The sequence below is a fragment of the Homo sapiens genome, chromosome 3 (genome assembly GCF_000001405.40).
Source record: "Homo sapiens chromosome 3, GRCh38.p14 Primary Assembly".
NCBI lineage: Eukaryota > Metazoa > Chordata > Mammalia > Primates > Hominidae > Homo > Homo sapiens.
Window position 1 is genome coordinate 65,911,101 of NC_000003.12, and position 14,537 is coordinate 65,925,637.

The window sequence follows — 14,537 nt, forward strand, 5'->3', positions numbered from 1 at the left end:
GCCTGCCTCGGCCTCCCAAAGTGATAGGATTACAAGAGTGAGCCACAGCGCCTGGCCTGGACATGGTGGACTTTTGCTATCCAACATCTATTTTCCCCATTTCTGATAGAAGCAACCCAGTTTTGTCAAATGAAAATAACTTATCTCCATAGGCTGGTTTAGACATTTTACTCAAACTGGGACATTTGAACGTTTGTCCATGGAATTTGAATCTCAAGCAGAAAAAGACAGAAAAGGGTTGGAGTTGGCTCATCCTCCGGGGGACGCTCTACAGAGATGTGGCTTCAGCTCCCTCCACCAGCAGCCCCAGAGCTGCCCAGCGTCCACCTTTCTGATCCCATTTTTCAGGTGTTTCTCAGATCCTGTAAACTGCTCCATGTATCTATTGTTTGTTCACAACAAATTTATTTTCTGCTTAGGGTGGATTCAGGGTAGATTTTTTTTGCACTTAGGACCAAACTATATCCTAACTTGCATGCTTATTAAAGTCATTCTTAAACCTTGGGATCAAAACTCAACACCCCTGATTATTTTTAAGCCCTTCAAAGCCACACCCCAACAGCATAACCGCTCTCTCTTCAAAACTTTTATATAAGCCTATTATGTATTCTTACTGTTTTCATTTACCCATGCTCCAAACAAATTACCAAATCATACTTTTATAGCCCATTGGATTATTTCCTAGCATCAAACTTGGCACCCAGAAGGTGATACAAATATTTTTATCTATTATTAAAGTTTCTGTGTAAGGCACTGTGCTTAGTGGCTTCCTGTTCGTTACTGCATTTCATTCCTCATTATAGGTAGGGTTATCCCATTTGGAGGATAACCAGTCCAAGGCAAAGAGATTAACTTGCCCAAGGGCATTCACAGCTACTAAATGGACAAACTGAGATTTAAATCCAAGTGTGCCCTTGAAAGCCTAAATTCTCAATCACTGATGATAGAACTTGAAAGGGAAAAGGCAGGTGTGAAAATAATTCTATCTTAGACATATTTATTTTGTCATCTCTCGAGTCTAGATATGAAACTCTGCCCACTGACATGTTCATGAACCCAATCTTGAAAGCTATTTAAGTTTAAATGAAACAATGCATTACTTCAGGTAAATGGAAAACAAAGAAAACTCTGATCTCAAAAAAAAAAAAAAAAGAGTTCTGCTTCCTAAATCATACACATCGTGTTCTCGCACTGTAGAATTTCTCTCTAATCTGCTCTGACAAAACCAAGTCAGGGGCTGGGGAGACTTGAACAGCAGGCTGAAAAACTGGAAGAGCCCAGTCTGGGATTAAAAACTAGCTACAAAGGGATAATTCACACATGGATCATTACGATTCAGGGATGGTTAAAAGCAGCTCACATCTGGTTTTATTTGGGCTCCCTGTTTCGTCTAATAAACAAGTACATGTTTAAACAAACAAAAACAGGTAACAAAAAAATGTTTTTCAGGTCACACGCAAAGTAGGATTAGTTTGGAAAAGGAAGACCAGCACCTGGAAAACCAATTTCACTTAAGTACCTCACCAAGAGACCCTGACCAAGTGACTTAATCTCTTAGGACCAGCTTCCTTAATCAAATGTGAAAATAAGGATTCTTTTTTAGTTACCTTAGAAGATTATTATGAGAATCAAAAGAAAGCATGAACATGGAAAATTTTATCAACTCTGACAAGACATTAACAAATATCCCCAGAGGAGGTCAAGCAGGCCTACCTGAGTCTACAAGTGGAAAAGTTTGTCAAATACACTATAAATAGCTACACTAGGTACAAGTCATGAAAGGAAAACCAGACACAGCACCTATATCAGCAAACAACCTATCAGACATCATGAAGAATAAAGTAAACTTTTATCTAGTTTGATCTCTTTAAATACTACCAAGCCATAAGGGGCTGGGCGCAGTGGCTCACACCTATAATCCCAGCACTTTGGGAGGCAAGGCAGGCAGATCACTTGAGGTCAGGAGTTCGAGACCAGCCTGGCCAACATGGTGAAAACCCTACTACAAAAATTAGCCAGGCGTGGTGGTGCACACCTGTAATCCCAGATACTCAGCAGGCTGAGGCACAGGAGGCGGAGGTTGAACCCAGGAGGCAGAGGTTGCAGTGGGCAGAGATTGTGCCATTGAACTCCAGCCTGAGCAACAGAGCAAGACTGTCTCAAAAAACAAACAAAAAATAATAAATAAACACTTCCAAGCCATGAAGTTCAATTCTTTGAGAACCATTTTTTCATATTTGACAAAATTGCATTTAGATGGAATTAGGATTATTCCTCCTCCCCAACCCCCCCAAAAAATCCAAAACATGGTTCAATGCTTTCAGGTAATTTCTACCTAAATTCTGACCTAAATTTGGGAGAGGCAACCCCAAAGTATGGCCTGTAGAAAGCTAATAGGTATAGGTTGTTTCGGAAGATGGGGAGGTAGTGTTCAGAAAGGAGAGATTCCAGAAAGGGTTCTGTTAGTTCACTAATTTGGGAAATGCTGCATTGGGCAAAACAGGTTCCTTAAACACAGTACTGCTTGGAGCATTTACCATGAGATGCCTTTCAAATCCCTAACAAAGTATTGGAATAAAAAGCATTTTGCAAACTTATTTGCAAAGAGCATCCTTCAGGCAGGTGTTCCACAGAAAACAAACTGAAAACACAGCAGAAGACAGTTAACAGAGGAAATACAGGGAGGAGAAATTCCTTCGGAACATATCGTATTTTTTGAAGGCAATGTGAGTAGAGTACCATGGAGGAATTCTACCACTGACTGTGTATCCCAAGGTCTTTATCTTCAATTCAAGGGGTTCTAACACTCCTGAATATTCTTGGCAATTTAGAAAACACTCACATGGACCCAGAAAGCAATTGCTTTAAACCCAGAGAGACCATTAGAAAGGACAAAGGGAGACAAAGAAGGAAGAAAAGAGGATCTTAGACCCTGCTTTCTCCCCTAATGCTTATTAACAACTAATTGGCTTTCATGTTTTCTCCATTAGGTTTAGCTTCATGATCAAAATCACCTCAGGGCATACTACAATCAACCAAACATCAGCCTTCAAGAGATGCACCATATGACTACATCCACAGGTCAGCATACATACTCAGCCAGCATAAACCCGGCGGGGACTTCTACCAACAGAGGGCCTCCTGTGAAAAGCCTGGAAAAAAAAGTCAACTCTCTGTTGCATAGTGAGCAACATAAATCCAGCAACATTTATTTCAGAACAAAGATCGATCTGTTAACTAATTAATCTGAACCCACAAATGAACACATTCAAACTGGGGTACTTCCTGGTTTCATCACAAATTCAAATGCCATCAGGGGCCATGCAGATAACCTCAACTAGTGAAGCAGACAATGTCTGAAAAAGTAGAGAATTATGGAGACTAAGAGGGGACCTGAGAGTTCAAGCCAAGCCTCAAGGCATTCACGCTCAATTCAATTAAAACACAGTGCTGACTCTAGCTCCCCTCAGACAAAACAAAACAGGTGCAGTCCAAATCCAGCCCACAGGCTACCAGTTTGAGAGCTCTGGGAAGGCCACCATCCTTAAGAGGATTTGAGCCTAATGTTCGACAAATGCCTAATAAGCATATTAAATTTACAAATCACAAAGTTGAGAACAGTATCAACCCAAATGTGCCAAACAAATTTGCTTATGGTGGATGGATATTTACAGGATATATGTACATATACAAAGGGTTTCAGCACTGTACAACAGAGTTCAATTGCTTAGAGTAACCTGCTGCATGACCTCGGGTAAGATATGTTACTTTTCTGAGCATCAACTTCCCCATCTATAAAATGAAGATAATAGCACCCCCTTGGGATAGTAGTGAAAGTTACACAGGAATAAATTTGTAAAGCTCTCAGCATGTAGTAGGCACTCAATAAATGATAGTTGATAATTTTTTTACAAAGCATATTTAGGCTAGCATTATAATGCACATTTAGAACAACTCATTCAAGGACAAAGTCAATCTCTTAGGCAAATTGTGTGGTAAATGATGTTGATCAGTCCCTTGCAAGAAACTGCTAATCATATGACCAGTCTCACTTAGCCTCTTGCCACACAGAGGTCATGAAAGGATGCTGGTGCCATCTCATGGTAATGCTCAGAGCCCACAGGAGATACAAATGCTAGGACTGTTCACATTTGAACAGCAGCTTGTACATATTTAGCATTAATTCTGTTAAATATTTTTAAATACTCAATTCAGAAGCATAAATCCAAACACCAACGGGATGCTAACACATCGCTCCATGCCAAACACCTTGCAATGTGCACAGTCATTTGCCCTCTAAAATTCACACCCGTTCAAGTTACTCTTCTCACCTTGTCTTCCAGCAGATGATCTGCACACTTGCCCCTTTTTAGACACTGGCTGCTTTCTCCTACAGAAAATTTAAATTCCAAATTGTTTGGGTCTTTTTCTTTTTTTAAAATCCCTGAAGAGACTGGACTGGGAAGAGGAAAAACGATGAATAACACACAGGTGCTTCCTACCTAATTAAAAGAAAAGTTTACAGCTGCACTGGTTGTGAATCATCCCTCTGGGTTATCCAGTGTATCCTTCAAGTGGCACGTAGTTCCATCAAGAGCCATATTCCATATGCTTTCCTGAAAACTGCCTTCTCTTTGCTTGGTAAAATGATGACTATCAGGTAACTAATGGCATTTTATACTTCCTGGCTTTCCTCTCTATGGACAAAGCAGTTCATTTGTGCTTCCTTATTTCTAAAAATAAATAACCCTGAAAAAAGGACTCAACTTAGTGAATCAAGCTTTGATTTATGTTGAAAAAGCAAGATGCAAATTTGTGTATTTATTATCATTTCTGTGTAAGAAATACATATACATTTATATGATACATATATAAAATGTGAATATATATAATATGTATATATTTATATACATATAATTTATAATATTCAATACACAGTATATTATATATATATATTCATCTATTTCTTTCTTTTCTTTTTTTTGAGACAGAGTCTTGCTCTGTTGCTCAGGCTGGAGCGCAGTGGCACATTTTCAGCTCACTGCAACCTTTGCCTCCCGGGTTGACGCGATTCTCATGCCTAAACCTCCCAAGAAGCTGGGATTGCAGGCACATGCCACCACACCCAACCAGTTTTTTTGTATTTTTAGTAGAGACGGGGTTTCGCCATGATAGCTAGGCTGATCTCAAATTTCTGGCCTCAAGTGATCTTCCCGTCTCAGCCATTGTATTAGTCTGTTCTCATGCTGCTTGATAAAGACATACCCAAGACTGGATAATTTATAAAGAAAAAGAGGTTTAATGGACTCACAGTTCCATGTGGCTGGGGAGGCCTCACAATCATGGCAGAAGGCGAAAGGCACACCTTACGTGGTGGCACACAAGAGAGAAAATAAGAGCCAAGTGAAAGAGGAAACCCCTTATAAAACCATCAGATATTGTGAGACTTTTTCACTACCACAAGAACAGAATGGGAAAAACCACTCCATGATTCAATTATCTCCCACCAGCTCCCTCCCACAACACATGGGAATTATGGGAGCTACAATTAAAAATGAGATTTGGGTGGGGACACAGCCAAACCACAATCGCCTCCCACAGTGCTGAGATTACAGATGTGAGCTACTGCACCTGGCCTATATACATGAATTTCTTACTTAAGTACATGTATCATACACACACTAACACACACACACACACATACACACACACACACCCTGCCACTACCTCCAGAGAAACCAAATAATGAAATAATGAGGATAGGAGAAGACAGTTGTCAGGGATAAGTTCTACTGTTCTCATTGTATACTTTTTAAAATCTTGGATAATCATACACGTAATATATTAATGGTCCAAAAAAGTTAACTTTGACTTCTTTAAAAATTTGTCTGGACTGCCAGGTGTTTTCTTATATTTTAAATTTATAATGTCAAAGGTAATTGAAATAATCTGTTTTTATTTCTTAAGCTTATCCTTAGACATTTCCACCTTCTTACACATAAAGAGAGAAACATCTAGAAAGATACATATTATACCATTAACTCTAAAGGATGAGGAGTTACATGGGGCTACAGGGTTTCCTTTCTCCTCTATCCTTCTACATCACTAGTAGCACTTTTGAAATTGAAAAATAAAACCAACAATGAGATACCACTACACACCTATTAGCAAAGCCAAAATCCTAAACACTGACACCACCAAATGCTGACAAGGATATGGAGCAACAGGAACTCTCACTCACTGCTGGTGGGAATGCAAAATTATATTGCCACTTTGGAAGACAGTTTGGCAGTTTCTTATAAAACTAAACATAATCTTACCACACAATCTAGCTAGCAATCATGTTCCTTGGTATTCAGCAAAGGAGTTGAAAACTTATGTCCACACAAAAACCTGCACATGAAAGTTTATAAAAGCTTTATGTGCAATTACCAAGTCATCCTTCAGTAAATGAATGGATAAAAGAACTATGGTACATCTAGACAAGGCAATATGATTCAACACTAAAAAGAAACACACCATCAAGCCATGAAAACACATGGAGGAAACTTACAAATGCATAGTGCTAAGTGAAAGAAGCCAATGTGAAACGGCTACATACTATATGATTCCAATTATCTGACATTCTGGAAAAGGCAAAACGATGGAGACAGTAAAAAGATCAAAAGTTAGGGGAGTGGGGAGATAAATAAGTAGAGCACCAAGAATTTTTAGGCGGTGAAACTAGTCTGTATATTATAATGGTGGACACGTGTCATTACATATTTGTTCAACCCTATAAAATGTACAACACCAAGAATGAACCCTAATGTAAACTAAGGTCTTTGGGTGATAATGATGTGTCAATGTAGGTTCATCAATTGTAACAAATGTACCACCTTGGTGGGGGACGTTGATAATGGGGGAGGCTGTGCACAGGCTGGAAGCAGAGGGTACATAGGAAATCTTTGTACCTTCCTCTCAATTTTATTGTGAATCTAAAAATGCTCTAACGAAGTCTATTGTTTTTAAACAGCTACTCAGAAAAATAAAAGAATGAAACTAATTTTACAGTTACAAAGAGAATATCTACACACTGAGGTAGGGTCAGAATCAGTAAACATGAATTCCTATCATTAAGCATTTTTATTAAATACCTAGAAGGGCATCTGTAGTTTAAGAAGAAACTTACATAACTCTCTCAGGTCAATTTTCTGCACTCTACTTTTGCTTCTCTTGGTTAAAAATCTGGGGTTGGGAACATATATTCACCTGTGCATTATACTCTTGCTCCAAAACATTTTTTTTTTTTTTTTTTGTGAGACGGAGTCTCGCTCTGTCACCAGGCTGGAGTGCAATGGCGCGATCTCGGCTCACTGAAACCTCTGCTTCCCAGGTTCAAGCAATTCTCCTGCCTCAGCCTCTCGAGTAGCTGGGATTACAGGTGTGCACCACCACGCCCAGCTAATTTTTGTATTTTTAGTAGCGATGGGGTTTCACCATGTTGGTCAGGCTGGTCTCAATCTCGTGACCTCATGATCCGCCTGCCTTGGCCTCCCAAAATGCTGGGATTACAGGTGTGAGCCACCGCGCCCGGCCTCCACAACATTCTTAAACTGATTTCTTTTGCCAACAAATGAGTTGTTTTCATCCTATTGCTTGGTGACTACGCAGGTCAGCTTAAAATTATTGTTTGCTTAAATTCAAAGAATTTAAAATGCTCTTCTCTTCAAATTATCCCTACCAACAAATAAATGCAAGTTAAGGAGAATGCTTACAAAAAGTTAAGAGGAGTTCAATTATACTGCAGAGTGATCTGTTTTTCTCAAGGAAGGATAATAATCCTCATTTTCAAAAAAAAAACAAACAAACAAAACAAAATGTAAACTAGCCAAAAGGGTATAAAATTGGAATCCCAAATTATTCTGGGAAACAATACTGTGCCCACAAGGGCACTCACTACACATGAAACCAGATAGTATGGTTAACATTGATCTGTGAAGACTGAAGACTATCAGTTTTCATGATCCTTGCTCAACAGAATTTCACTGGCTTTTCCTTTGGAGAACACTAAACTAATTTCATTGAATTTGAGGGAGCTTTCCCCCCAGGAGACAAAATGCTGACTTCTCATTCTGAAGTTATAAATGTAAAAACAATTTGATTTTCTACTTCTTAACCTCCAAAATGCTTACACAAGGGCCAGATGTAATGGCTCATGCCTGTAAATTCCAGCACTTTGGGAAGCTAAGGCAGGACGATCGTTTGAGCCCAGGAGTTTGAGACCAGCCTGGGCAACACAGGGAGACCCCATCTCTACAAAAAAATTTTTAAATTGGCCAGGAGTGGCGCACGCTCCTGTGGTCCCAGCTACTTGGGAGGCTAAGGGGGAGGATCTCTTGAGCCCAGGAGTTTGAGGCTGTAGTGAGCTACAGTTGTGCCACTGTACTCTAGCCCAGGTGACAGAGCAAGACCCTGTCTCAAAAAAAAACAAAAAGAAAAAACAAACAAACAAAAAAGAAACAAACAAAAAATGCTTACACAAGAGAAGGTATCAGGAGGTAACTTGGATATATTTTCATTCTCTCATTCTCTCTCCTTCTCTCTCTCTCTCTCTCTCTCTCTCTCTCACATTTTTCAAGTTAGAAAAAGGCAACGTTCCCCCATTCGAGGCTTTGTTAACAGTGACCATTATACACGGCTGGAATAATTTCTCTCATACAGTCTGTCAGCCTGCTTCCTGATATCTAACTACTGCTTTGAACACTAGAACTCTCAGTTTTAGCCAGACATCACAGACCTTCCATCATCTTAACCCCTTTTAACTTTTTTCAATCTTATCCCATTGGTCACCAACTTAAGATTCCTGGAAACTCAGGAATGAAATAAATCTAAGTGGTCACTTGGTCTAACTTCAGGTCCGATGTTTAAATTCACACAAACTTCTCGCAATGACCCAGACTAGACTTGGAAAGCTCTGAATCAGTGAACAAACCACATTTCTTGGCAGCCACACTTATTTTAGGGAGTTTTGCACATCACAAATTACCCACAACAGTCCTGTTCACATCCTTTAGGGCCCACACAGAATCTGGCCAACTTCATTTACACATATTAGCCATCTATTTAAAGAGCTGGTTTCCACCTGCATCCTGCTGTATTTTTTCCTTCCAGCTAAACACCTCGACCTGTGCCCTCAATTTCTCAAAGACCCCTGTGATAGTCATTAAAAACAGTGATATTAAAAAACAAGGGCTCTAAAATTATCTTCTTTTTAGTTTTAAGCAGTGGGGAACAGAACATATTGGATCTTCCATCAAATTCTGACAGTCACACACAAACACCGTATGAATTTCTAATCCTGAACCATCTCTTTTTAAGGTATAATACATGTGTCAGGTGAAAACCTAATCTCTCTTCTCCTAGATTCAATCACCTCAAGGCATTCCATATTTATAAGCTTCACTCTCTTCTGGGACTTAAGAAATATTTTTAAAACAATATAGTACAATTAAATTTAGCCCATTCTTCCCCTTCCCAAAAACATTTTTAACAACTTTTATTTAATTTCACATTTCAGAAGAAAATGAAAATTAAGATTAATTGAATTACCCTCCCCCCATGGGTTTTAATTTATATGACAACATTTACATTTGGTAAGAACAAAATGGCAGGGCGCAGTGGCTCACGCCTGTAATCCCAGCACTTTGGGAGGCCGAGGTGGGTGGATCACGAGGTCAGGGGTTCAAGACCAGCCTGACCAACATGGTGAAACTCCGTCTCTACTAAAAATACAAAAAGTAGCTGGGCCAGGTGGCGGGCACCTGTAATCCCAGCTACTCAGGAGGCTGAGGCAGGAGAATTGCTTGAACCCGGGAAGCAGAGGTTGCAGAGAGCCGAGATCACGCCACTGCACTCCAGCCTGGGTGACAGAGCAAGGTTCTGTCTCAAAAAAAAAAAACAAAATGGAATTGGGCTGCAGTTTTTAGTTACAATTGACGCTACTGCCAAACTGAGTTCAGTTCAGAAGTTATAATTGCACAGAAAATGCAAACATATAATCTTGACTTTTACTATCATTTTAACCCACTGCAGAATTATTTAACAATGTTTGCCATGTTGGAAGAAAGCTACTACGTGGTATTTTGCTCAGGCCAATGTATAACAAAAAAAATTGATTTGAGAAGATAAGATTATTAAATCAATCTGTATTTTAGCAATGACGTATAATTTTTTTTTTTTTTTTGAGACAGGGTCTCACTCTGCTGCCCAGGCTGGAGTGCAGGGGGCACAATCTCAGCTTACTGCAATCTCTGTGTCCCGGGTTCAAGTAATTCTCCCATCTCAGCCTCCCGAGTAGCTGGGACTACAGATATGCGCCACCAGGCCTGGCTAATTTTTGTATTTTTTGGTAGAGACGGGGTTTCACCATGTTGGCCAGGCTGGTCTCGAACTTCTGGCTTCAAGTGATCCTCCCACCTCAGCCTCCCAAAGTACTGGAATCATAGGCATGAGCCACCGTGCCCGGCTGACTTATAATTTTCTTAAGATCTTTACCACCATATTGGAATAACCTCCAATCAATACAGAAGCTCTTACCACTCTTTTAATCCATTCCTCCTCAAGAAAAGGTCATTCCACAAAATCAATCAAAGGAGAATCAATCAAAATGATTGACAATTGTCTGTAGCCTGCTAGTAAAAGTTAAAGGAACACAGAAGAAAATCAGGAAAGAAAGTTAGCCTGAGCCCAGGAGGTTGAGGCTGCAGTGAGCCACGATGGCGCCACTGCACTCCAACCTGGGCAACAGAGTGAGACCCTATCTCCAACCACACACACGACACACACACACACACACACACACACACACACACACTACACAAAAGGAAAGAATATACAAAATGCATTTTGGTTAGATATGAAAAACGAATAATAATAATTATAGGAGTGTATCAAGTACCTGCCATGTGCTAGCTCTTGTTAACATGGTTTATCTCCATCACTCATTTAACCTTCAAAATCGCCTAAGATACAGGTACTATTATTAGTTCCCTTTTACAGAAACAGAGACTCTAAGAGATGAAATGACATGCACAAGGTCACACACAAAAATACAGCAGAGACTAGACCTAGATTCATGCATTAGCAACCAATGCAAGAGATAAAACCTGGTATACCGGGGTTGAATAGCATCCCCTCAAAGTTCATGTCCACCTGGAACCACATGTGACCCTATTTAGAAATAGGACCTTTGCAGATATAATCAGTTGAGGTCATAATGAATCAGGGTAATCCCTAAAACCAATATGACTGGTGTCCTTTTACAAAAATGAGCAGATACTCAGAGACATGGACACACACAGAAGGAAGACAGCCATGTGAAGAGGAGGTAAAAACTGGAATGACACAGATACAAACCAAGGATGCCAAGGATTGCTGGAAACCACCAGAAGCTAGAAAGAGACAAGGAAGGCAAAGGATCTATAGATCCTTCAAAGGAAGCAAGGCCCTGCTTGACTTCAGACTTCTAGCTTCCAAAACTATGAGAGAATACATTTCTGATGTTTTAAGTCACCCAGTTTGTGATATTTTATTACAGCAGCCCAGGGAAATGATGACACCTGAGAGGAGAACACGATGAATCAACGGAGCATTGCAATGCCAGCACTTCATCCCCAAAGAAAATTGGTGTACAGAAAGGAGAGACAGTAATAAGAACCAGCCAGTTGGAAGTTCAGCAGGTTTCTGTCAAATAATAACCACTGGCGTATTTCCTGCTCCTTCCTATAGTCTTTAGAAGACCCAACTTACAACTATGTCTATGAGGAACTCTGGTAGGACTATACATAATAGGAAAACATAACATTTTTTTCTTGATAACAGGAACATCTGGCTATGCTGAACATAAGAGATTCAAAACAGAGGAGATTTGCAAATTATAGCTTCCCTTAGGGCTTAGAAGTGCTTAGATAAAATTTGATTATTCCATACTGGCCTGCAATTTGACTCCAAGATCCCAGGATCACATGCCCCAGGCAAAAGATTTCTAATTCTTCTATGTAAGACCTATACTTGCTCTATCCATTCCGTATGTATCCATCCACCCGTCCATGCATGCACATGTTAAGCTTGCATTCAACAGACATCTTTTTTTTTTTTTTTTTGAGATGGAGTCTCGCTCTGTCACCCAGGCTGGAGTGCAGTGGTGTGATCTCGGCTCACTGCAACCTCCACCTCCCAAGTTCAAACAATTCTCCTGCCTCAGTCTCCCGAGTAGCTAGGACTACAGGCGCGCACCACCACGCCCAGCTAACTTTTTGTATTTTTAGTAGAGATGGGGTTTCACCATGTTGGTCAGGATGGTCTCGATCTCTTGACCTCATGATCCGCCCACCTCGGCCTCCCAAAGTGCTGGGATTACAGGCATGAGCCACCACGCCTGGCCTCAATAAACATCTTAAATAATAAACATCATAAAAAGCCCACTAGGTACCTGGCACTGTTATGTCCTTGGAATAAATATGACAAGTATATGCCATATCTGAGGGAGTCTACCCTCTAGCAAGAATGAGAGACATTCAACAAGTAACTTTAAGTGAGATGAGAGTTAACAAGGAGACATTAAGGCTGCTATGGGAGATAAGAGATAAGGTTGGCCAATCACATACAGCTGTACAGGGGGTACACTGCACAAGCACATTTGGCCAAGTAACATGTTGGGCCTAAGGTACAGCTCTCTCCATATGCAAAAAAGAGCGTTGTTTCCTCATTACCACAAAGAAGCAATTCCAACTAGCATCAGCTCTGAAACTGTAGAGGATAAGCACCTAATCTTGCAGCATCAATGCACCTGAATTTTATATTAAGAGTAATATTAACAGAAAATAATTAAAGTGTTTTTTAAGTATTAGACTCAGCTGTCCACAGAAGCAGAAGCAGTAATTTATCCAACATTATTTCATCTCTTGGGTAATACTAAAATAATTCAAGGAGATGTATGAATAATTGAAGCTAAGACCATCTGTAAAAAATGCCATTATGGCTCTTTACCAATTGACACTCATTTAAAACCTTGATTTAAAAAGTAGCATTTTCCATCATTTTAACTTTAGGAAGATTTAAATGATTTATTAATCAAGTGCTGTTTCACTGGACTAAAGTAGGATCACAAGCCCTATTCAAACCTGTCTTTCCTTTCCACATATCAAATTCTTGCCTTCCAGAGAAGCTACTAAAATGCCCGAATTAAGAAAGGTCGGTCTACAGCAGTGGGATTGCATCTCCCTCCCCAGAACACTGTAAAATTAGAAAATTAAGCCTGTCACTTTAAGATACATGAGTCCCATTTCAAGAATTTCTAGCATCAAACCAAGCAAGAATATCATTGGGAGGTGAATTTATATAACACAAGGATTCTAGGAGAAGCCATCATTTCCGTGGCAGGAATCAGAATGCTCAAACAATATGAGGCAAGAATGAGGCCATCCCGCATCCCCAAATTATCTACCTGTAAGTCACAGCTTGCTTAGAGTACTAGAGCAGGTTTCCCAGATTGCTTTGGTGGGCTCTTAATTACCGAAGGTCCACCACTAAACCTGTCTCTGGTCAGATTCGGTTAGGAAACCCCACATCCCACACTGCCCCTCGCTGCTCCATGCTTCAGTTTTCTTATATATCAAATGAGAATAAACAGCCATGCCTACCTCATAAGACTGTTGTGGGAATTTACGAGTTAATCCATGTAAAGTACTCACAGTCATGCCTGGCACATAGTTAAGTGCTAAATAAAAGGTAATTGTTATTATTATTTTCTTTTGTAGAGCATTTGATGAATTTCTGTCCATAAAAACCCTCTGAGAGAAGTCATGAAAACAAATAAGTCTGTTGAGCTTTACATATGCCGGTCTTAGCCAAATTTGTCTGACCACAAGATCCTTTGATCTCCCCATAAAACATTTTCTATCACTGGGGGAGCTCAAGTCCTGTAGAGCTCACCATGGGATACACTGCTCCATGACGACTGTGTCTCTGCCTCGTCTACTTCCATTGCTCATCCAGGAATTGAGAAGACTTTATCATTTAAGCCATGAGATGGCTGAGGAAGAAAAAACCAGATGCCTGTTTAAGTCACCTTTAGATTTCCACTTCTTCTTCCACTGAATTGTCCTTGAAATTTCCTTTGGAAATAAATTCCAAGGTAATAAAAGGCCTCAGTGCAGGTAGTGTTTTTTTTTGTTTTGTTTTTTTGTTTTTGTATTACTTATACACAAAAAGCTGGCTGAAAGGCCAAACAGAATGACAATAAAGGGCACCTTGCCCAGATTTGATGTAAAAAGGCCCACCTTGACCCAACAAGGACAACTGCAAACAACCCAAGGCCAGTGACCACATAATTCCCTGATGCAGAGTTAAGAGAAAAACAACAGGAACTTTGTTCACTATAGTCACACAATACTGGTTATTCCTCTTTCTATTTCTATAACCTAGAACACTAAATACTCCTTTAACAATTAGAACGTTTGTTAGATTGATAAAAATAAAGAACCCCAACCTCTCAA

General features: G+C 39.9%; 1 protein-coding gene and 2 long non-coding RNA genes across 8 annotated transcripts in view, besides 1 other annotated feature; 1 reads left to right on the forward strand and 2 right to left on the reverse strand.

Moving 5' to 3' along the window:
• Window positions 1–14,197, forward strand: part of MAGI1-AS1 (MAGI1 antisense RNA 1) — a 31,482-nt gene extending 17,285 nt beyond the window's left edge. Inside the window, exons 2-3 of the long non-coding RNA NR_046575.1 lie at window positions 2,991–3,081; window positions 13,800–14,197. This is a non-coding gene — a long non-coding RNA (MAGI1 antisense RNA 1). The remainder of the gene's footprint in view (window positions 1–2,990; window positions 3,082–13,799) is intronic.
• MAGI1 (membrane associated guanylate kinase, WW and PDZ domain containing 1) overlaps window positions 1–14,537 on the reverse strand; it is a 685,393-nt gene that overhangs the window by 557,575 nt on the left and 113,281 nt on the right. The window lies entirely within an intron of this gene.
• Window positions 1–14,537, reverse strand: part of MAGI1-IT1 (MAGI1 intronic transcript 1) — an 81,745-nt gene that overhangs the window by 38,287 nt on the left and 28,921 nt on the right. The window lies entirely within an intron of this gene.
• Window positions 4,454–4,748: a silencer, noted in NCBI's record as "tiled region #14829; HepG2 Repressive non-DNase unmatched - State 19:H4K20". NCBI's record gives its function as "represses a minimal TATA promoter and a strong SV40 promoter by Sharpr-MPRA in HepG2 cells {active_cell/tissue: HepG2}" and the evidence as "EXISTENCE:reporter gene assay evidence [ECO:0000049][PMID:27701403]".